Source organism: Homo sapiens, chromosome 13 (genome assembly GCF_000001405.40).
Source record: "Homo sapiens chromosome 13, GRCh38.p14 Primary Assembly".
Classification (NCBI taxonomy): Eukaryota; Metazoa; Chordata; class Mammalia; order Primates; family Hominidae; genus Homo; species Homo sapiens.
This window is the reverse complement of record NC_000013.11, coordinates 105,810,078-105,818,925: the sequence shown is the minus strand read 5'-3', so window position 1 is coordinate 105,818,925 and position 8,848 is coordinate 105,810,078. Positions and strand designations below refer to the sequence as shown.

Here is an 8,848-nt window from a genome sequence, read left to right as displayed (position 1 = left end):
GGGAAGCAGGGCTTGGTTGTCTGTAGTTGACACAGACACTAAAACAATATTCAGTATTATAGGTTCGGGACTGTGAACCCGTAACTTCAACATCTGTACTTTTTCCACTAAAACTTGCAAGCTATCTTACAACTCAAATTCTTGTGACAGCTTTGTATTGAAAATGATGCAAATTAATATTCTCATCTTATCAGGTCATAGGTTTGAATTATATTTTACATGAATCTACATTTTAATTTAAAACAAGAAGTTATTGGACTTTTTTGGGGGGTGAGGTCTTTATGTTTATTAGTGACTTTAATGAGTTCCATAAATTACTGTGAGATTCCCAGGTGTTGTTCTGGTCTAGACCCCTCAGAGGTCTAGGTCACTTTCACACTCCGAAATCAATCCTAATTATAAGCAGAGGTTGTAGCATAAACAACAGGAAATTGACTTAGTAAAAGTAAACTGGTATTTATTAAGAGCCTATAACATCGCAGGCATTATGCTAGTAGGCCCTCTACCTAGATTATTTCCCAGCCAATTAGGTATAATCCACTACGTTTTAAAGAGGAAGGATACAGGCCAAAGGTTGGAGTTGATTTACTCAAGGAAACAGACTCAAGCATGGTAGAGCCGGAATGCAAGAGCTGCCATCAGCCTGGCCTTGCATGTCATGACTCTGGTCTTGCCACCTCTGTTCTTACCCAGTCCTGCCACCTCCGTCTTGTTTAGATACTGCTGAAGACTGTCATTGCAGGCTTCCCAGAAATCTTGTTCCTTAGTATCTGACTCTGCTTCTGACCTTGCATAAGGTGGTTGAGTCTGTGTTGTGGCTCACCCTGCTGGACCTAATCCATACCTGTCCAGTCCGAATGTGCCTGCCCACTTCTCCCTGGCCTTGCTTTCATTCTTGGGATGTTACATTTGGTCTGCCATATGGAGGCCTTCCCATTTACTTTTTGAATAATTCGTATTTTACTAACTCCGTCCCCCAACCTCTGTGTGTGTGTGTGTGTGTGTGTGTGTGTGTGTGAGAGAGAGAGAGAGAGAGAGAGAGATATCAGTGAAAAAACATCACCGAGATGAACTTTCTTATGAACCTGAGAGTGACCTTGGTTGGCTTCCTGGGCATCTATGTAAGCACTGGGCTTTATGAGCTTCTCATGTAATGCCCACCCTACATGGCACACGTACCTCCTGGCCTTCTGCCCAGGTCTGGAAGTTGCTCTCATGAGCCAGGTGGGGCCAATATTGCCTCTGGGTCTGGGCAAGGCTGAGCTTGCTGTGCAAGGCGATTCTTGCAAGCAATGGGTGTAGCAGAGGAAGGCAGCACCTAACCCAATACTCACACCTCCAAATAGGATTCAATCCTGGACCCTCTACCCAGCCTTCCTTCTTCAATCGCTGCCCAAACTTCAGCATGACAAAATGACCAAGAGCTCATCCTTTCTGACATTCTTCATTTCTGTCCCAGAGATCGATGTTGTTTATAGAGGAATATGTCTGCATCAAGTTAGAGTTTACGAAGGATCCTACCTGTGCCTTTCACATACCGATGGGTATCGTTCTGAACTGCTGCAGGCATCCTGCAGCCATTAGTGTTAACAGATGCTGTGATAATAATTCTCGAAACTATTGCTCCAGGAGTGTTCCTTTGAGTGATCTCACTCATCAAGACGAAGGCCATAAATTCTGAGGAATGTTAAACAATCAAATTCCTGACCTGTCTGTGACTATGGGAACTAAGTGCTGTTTACAGGTAGGGCCCTGAAGTTCAAAGAAAATCAGCCCTGCAGCTTTTGTTTTTCATTTGCATGAGTTAAAGCTGAGCCAACCTGCTGTGCTTAGTGAGGTGCAAAATGAGGTCTGAAGAGTCTTTCCAATCTGAGGCTGCCTGCTCACCCAGTGACACCTATTTATTTCAGCTTGGGTCAGTACCAGAAGCCAAATTGCCATAATCCATGAGGGAAGCCTTGCAGTTCTTGTGGAACTCAGAAACACTTAGGGAGTGGAGGGGACTCCAAAAGGGATCATGATCCAAGGAAGAAAAGAGTACAAGACAATGGAAAAAATAGTTGAGAGAGAAGGAAAGAGAGACAGAGATGAACACCCTGATTTGAGCTCCTCTCCAGCTATCTCATACTCACACAAATTTATTTAATATCCAAGGAACTGAGTGTCCTCTAGAATAAACACTAAGGATCAAGTGGCATGTATGTGATTTCACCTGTTTGTCTTGCTCTAATCTCCATATCAGTTCCTAATTGCCTTAAATTCAGGAATCATGACAAAATATATTCACTGTGGTTAAAAAAATCCTTAAGACTTAACATGTGCCCTTGATGTAGAAGAGTTAATTTTCTAACTAATTATTTGTGAAAGCTATATTTTGTGTCAGTGCATAATGAGGAAAAATTAATTTCCTTAAACACTAAGTAAAAATTGCAAGACATCCATCTGTCTCCCATCTTCTTCTCTTGACGCTTTGGGTACTGATAGTGCTAGCAAGTTACCTAAGGCCCTAAGGCCCTACATAAAATGAACAGATGTTTAGCTCTAGTTTTGCAAAATTTGCTGTATGAGTTTTTAGGTTTTATGTTTTCAAACCCTAGAGTCAGAGATCGGTAGGCTTGTGATGTAACTATCTAAAGTTTTTATTGTATTTCCAAAAAGTTTCCATTTTCTCCCAAATAAAATAAAATGTGAAGAAATGTAAGTTTAGATTCGATGTAATTGAATCATTTTACATAATTTTATTGTTAAAAATGTACATTACAAATTCCATGATTCCATACAACAGTTTATTGAGCATATACTATAAGTCACTGATTGCACCAGTGAATTGCTACAGGAATATAAAAACAAAAACAAAAATGATGACGATGCGGCGCTGACATGAACAAGTTTACCAGCTTATCAAAAGGCATGATGAGAAATTAGTTAACTGTAAATCAAGACCAAGCATGATAATGTACCAGAGAAAGGCTTCAAGATCAGAGGGGGAAATACCTTTCTGTCCCACCAATTGCAAAACCTGGGCTTTCAATGGTCAGTGTGTGGGTAGTGCTGACTGAGCATCTGCTGTGGGTTGGTGCTTTATGTAGTTGTTTCATCTCTACCCTCATTTTACAGGTGAGAAAACTTAGGCCCAGAAAGATTTTATGAAATCTCGCAAAATCTCTGAAAGCTCATCAGTCTATGCAAGTCTAAAAACTCTCCAGTCCATGTCTCCCCGTAGGCCTACACCCAGCTCTGGCCCTCTCCACTCCTCTGACTATACTGTAAAAGTGGCTTTTGTCAAGGTGACTGGGAAAATAAGTATTGGAGAAGTTATGTATTTATCTCCTGGTGTTAATTATATCTTTAAGTTGATGCTATTTCTTGAAGATCATTTAATTGCTTCAAATAACTTATCCAAAGATATATTTAGTCTTGATGGTTTGCTGTCTTAATTCCACCCCATTTATCTGGCTTAGTGTAGGTTATCTAGAGTGCAATACTAAAATTTATTTATCTAGTTTTCTTTGCTCATTTTTTTCATTTTGTTTAATACAGAATTTTGAGAACTGAAGCAATTTTTCAATAACAATAAAAATCAAAGAAATGTTATTAAATATTTATATAATTTAACTTTTGTTCAAATCTCTAGATAATTAAATGTTACTAAAATATCTAGATAACATGTTTTATTAAAATATCTAGATAATCAAGGCAACATATTTCCATATGGATCTAAAGTATCTGTATATTACCTTACAGGTGAAGTATGTGTTATCTAAGCAAGTTTAGAAAAGTTAAGGTATCTGAATCGTGGGATCTGGTATTAGTCTGAGCTCTGCCCCTGACTAGCTGAGGTCACAATGAACACTTTGCTAATCCCGATGCAGTACATCTGAGACACCCTGAAGGGCGTGATAGGGAAGATAAGATAATGTATAAGAAATGAATTGAGGTACTGCCAAGCACCATCGAGAATCAGTCCCCATCACTGGCCTCAACAACAGTCATCTCTGTTGTACTATTTCACTGTCCCCCTCCTAAATCACAGCCCACTAGGTGACACATCCCTGACGGGTGCTGGACACACCTGCTGATGGCTGTGATCACCCTAGACATCTAATGAGCCAGATACTTGTCTGTGCCAGCCCTCTTGTTCACACTGCATTCAGCATCTGGATTTTTGGTGCCGTGCCAATCTTAATGAAGTTGTCTTGTTGTTTTCTAAATACCTTTGGACACCTAAGGGCATAATGACTGAGCCAGGGTGTGTGACAGTGATAAAATATGGCACAGGCTGGATGAGCTGTAGCATGAGGCAGGTTTGACATGAAATGATGAGATTTGTTGTAGTCTAATCTACTCCTTTTGCTCCTTTAAGAAAAGATGGGGCAATGGGAGACTGCTGGCTGTTTGGCATCAACTCACAAGAATTGCACCTCTATAAGACAACATTAATTTGTATTGCATGACTCACATTGCATAAAAACAAGTTTGCATTCAAGAATCATGCATTCCCAGTTAATTAATCGCCCTTGTAAATGTTGGGGTGGATTATTGGTTAGTCACACACGTTTTTTTTTTCCCAGAAAGAAGGCAGGTGTGCCTCTCTGGCTCACCGTATAATTTTTTATGCCTGAATCAGCCTTGTGTGCTTCTGCCATTCTCTGCATCCCTTTCATTAAGCTCTGTCTAAATACTGAACTGTCCAAGTGTGTTATTGTAAATCAAGACTATCCACAAGTATTTCAAAACTGACATTTCATGGCTTGAAAAGAATCTAATCCAATTCCCTTTATTTCAGAATACATGGAAAGAGAGACAGAGTGACTAAGGAAGTTGCCCCAGGTCACACAATTAATGACAGAGCCTGTGATATCTAATGAGATCAGCCCCTTAATGGGAAGCTTGGGGCATTTTGGGCCAAAAGAAAATAACAGATTTTTGCCCCTTATCTACATAAGATAGACCCACATTTATGAGAAGAAAAGTTTCAACTCTTGAGAAAAATAGTTTTTGTGATATTTGTTGAATAATTAATGGGTGTGTAAATGAAAATTTTACAAAACAATATTCAAGTTCATGTCCAAAATGATTAAGAGATTTATTTCAAAATTTTAGCATTCATTCAAAGATACCCTTCTATTTATCTTTAAAAATAATTGGTATGTTAAAATTACTCAAATTTATCTTGATGCTTCTTTGAAAAATAAAATAATTTATCATAATGCCATTTTCAGAGTGGGTAATTTTTCTGCCTCACAGACATTATTAAAAGCATTTTTTAAGATAGACAACTGAAGCAAAAGGAAGAATAGATAATAGACTTTATCAGAAGAAAAATATCTAAGACTTGGATCACTTAATTTCTAATATATATTCAAATATTTATTCCTACAGAAAAATATTTTGGTACTAGTGATTCTCAGCTGCAGTGTTGGTCCTTCATGGTGCCTCTTATTATTTCAAAGAGAAGGCAATATTGATATAATTTATTAAATGCAATTCAGCTTTTTTTCTGTTTTACTTAAAAAATGAATACATAGAACCTTCTAAGCTGATGTGAGAGAATGGCTAGGATTGGCATTTCTCCCAAGCCAGCAGATCCCAGAGAGAGTCTCAGTTCCAAATAGGTTAGAGGCCATTTTTTTTAACCAAAAGGAAAAATGTCCTAAATGCATTTTGAAATTCCTGGTTGACTCCAAAGGCATCACTCAAAGCATCAAGGGATCAACTCAGAGGCACTCCATATTATTTTTTTTCAATTGCTTTATAATTTTTAATTTATTTTTATTTTTTATTTTAAGTTCCAGGATACATGTCTAGAATGTGCAGGTTGGTTACATAGGTAAACATGTGCCATGGTGGTTTGCTGCACCTATCAACCTGTCATCTAGGTTTTAAGCCACATTATTTTTATATTATGTTTATAAAGGAGATTACCTACAGAAGCTGCCATTCAGAGGACAGACTGCTAGGAGTTGAATTGTGTCACCCAAAAAGATATATTGAAGTCCTTATCCCCAGTACCTGGGAATGTGACTTTATTTGGCAATAGCATCTTTGCAGATGTAATCAAGTTAAGATTAAAGTGGGCCCTAATTCAATATGATTGATGTCTTTATAAGAAGAGAAGATCCATAGACACCCAGGGAGAAGGCCATGCAGCGACAGAAGCAGAGATTAGAGTGATGCCGTTGCAAGCCAAGGAACACCGAAGACTGAAGACCACAACCAGAAGCTAGGACGAGCCAAAGAATCTGCTAAGAGTCTCAGAAGAAGCCTGGCCCAGCTGACACCCTGGTATTAAACTTCTAGACTTCAAAGTTGTGGGAGAACACATTTATGTTACACTAAAGAACTCAAGTTGTGGTAGATTATTATAGCCACCCTGGGCAACTAGTACAGATTTTGATGATTTTTAAATCCGCTGCATACAGTAGCCACCTCAGAATGCACAGAGGAATAAGTATGTGTACTTTTAGCAATTGCAACGTAATTGAGAGTTTACTTAAAACCCTTCTATTTCAGTAGAATTCTGAATAGTATATTCAATATATTAAATATTTCATTTTGAAATTATTAGCTTATTTCTACTTCTGTAAGCTTTTGATTAATATTAAATTTTAAAGCTGCAAGTTTTTAGATTTGAAATAAATATCTGCCATTCACCAGAACACTCCTAAATTGGGTCATCTGTCTCTATTCATTTTTATAATGCACTAAACACCCAATATTGCCTGATTTACAGGACAGCTGTTTCTTCTGCAGCTATTTCCTGCTTTGGATATTCTATTTTATTATTCTACCAATTTGAAGAGTACTGTGACATAATCATCGCATGTTGTTATGGGTTGAATTGAGTCTCCCAAAGAAGTATGTTGAAGTAGTAACATCTAGTATCTCAGCATGTGACTGTCAGAAGCTAAAAGAAATACATGGAACAGATTTTGTCTTAGAGCCTTTCAGAAAACGCAACCATGCCAACACCTTGATTTCAGCCTTCTTGTCTGCAGGACTGTTGGAGAATAAATATATTTCTGCCATCTTAAGCCATCGAGTTTATGGTACATTGTATGCCAGCCTTAGTAAATAAATACATATGTGAAGTATGAGTCGTCTTTGACTGTAAGTGCCTTATTTTTAAAAAATGAGAAGTAAATTATGAAAGTCCTTGACCTTTCTCTTTCCAAAATCATAATCCTAAATACTAATTTTCTAAAAGGTACAGAAAATGTCATTTTCAACTGGTTGGTTCATAGAAGGTTGAACAATAATCATTGACTTATCTGTGCAGTCAAACTGTGAAGAGTGTGAGGTTTTAGCATTTTATGGGTCAGAGATGAGAAACAAGGTTATCTGAGTGCTTGCTCTTGTATGTGCATACAAAAAAGTAACCAAAATATTCATTAGTTTTATGCTGATCGTCTCAGTAAGACACTTTAAACAGTTATGAACATGGAAAGCAAAGTTATTTTTTCTCAAAACAACATTATTGTTAAAGAAAAACATTACATTGAAATGTCTTGTGCTAGTGATGGTGTTTCCATATTGCTAAACTATTTCCTGCAGCCTGTGTCTTACCAACAGCATTAACTCTTCCTCCTAGAAAGATCTGTCCTGTGGCATGCCGCCAGCATCTCCTTGACGGGCCTACATACCCTCCGGAGTTTGCCATCTTGGTTTAAGTCATGCGATGACTTGTGATTTGAGTAGTCCATCTAAATACCTCCAAAGTATTTCAAATTTAGATTTTTTTCTGAGTTTAGAATTTTCTCACCCAGTAAAGCATTTGTTGACCATATCTGTTTCTCCTTTTAGGTTGTGAGTTCATTAAGGACAATGAATGGAGCATTTCTTTTTATCTCCAGCACTAAGGACAGTACTGGGCACATGGTTCATAGTGAGATCAAAGTTAGCTGAAAGGAAAGTATCCATTCTAATGGCTACAGTTACAGGAAGGGAAGCTGGGAGATTTTTTAAAAGGTTACATTTTCTTCCTTACCTTTCCTTTCTTTTTTCATTTTCTTCCTTTCCTTTCCTTCCCTTCCTTTCCTTTCCTTCCCTTCCTTTCCTTCTGCTTCTTCCTTTCCTTCCCTTCTTTTCCTTCTGCTTCTCTTCCTTGCTTCCCAGTAATTCTTCCCAGTAATTCTTCTCTTTCTTGCTTCCCAGTAATTCTTCTCTTCCTTGATTCCCAGTAATTCTTCCCAGTAATTCCCAGTAATTCCTTGCTTCCCAGTAATTCTGTACTTTCTTTTCAATCACAGTTGCTACAATATTTGCTAAACTCTGATGGTTACCATTAATGACTAAATTTTGTTTTATTAATATTAAACCAAAACCAATATTAATATTAAATATTAATATTACAGCCAAGAAAAACCAAACAAAAAACTTGATTAAAGGTATTACCTCAATTATGTACAGAAAAAAATGATCATGATTGTTGTATTAAAAAGTAGCAGAGGCTTGTGACAGCAAGTTTGGATGGACTTGCAAGCATTCTTTAATTTGTCATTTGCACAGATTATAGCAAAGTGAATGAGTAGGTGTATATTGTCTAAAAGAAATCAAGAAGATGCTGGGTAATACAAAGCACTCAATAATGAGACTTTATCATTTTTTTCTATACAAAATTACTTATTTTACTGTTAACTCATTTTTGTTGGAGTTTGTTTGTTCTTCTCCTATGTGAAATGGTACATTATAAAAAAAAATCAAGTAAGAAAACATTCTTTGCCAAAATTGTAGGCTCAAATTGGTCATTCTTTTCAGATGAAGAGGTAATTAGAACTATTTCTAGTTTTTCAAAAGACATTAATTTCTTGGTTTTGCTACATCAAGTGTAAGGAGATTACCTTAAGAA

General features: G+C 37.3%; 1 annotated feature.

The window, feature by feature from the left end:
- Window positions 1,296-2,229: an enhancer, noted in NCBI's record as "OCT4-NANOG hESC enhancer chr13:106469046-106469979 (GRCh37/hg19 assembly coordinates)". NCBI's record gives its function as "activates a minimal SCP1, AML or CMV promoter by ChIP-STARR-seq in naive H9 embryonic stem cells {active_cell/tissue: H9 hESC(naive)}" and the evidence as "EXISTENCE:reporter gene assay evidence [ECO:0000049][PMID:30033119]".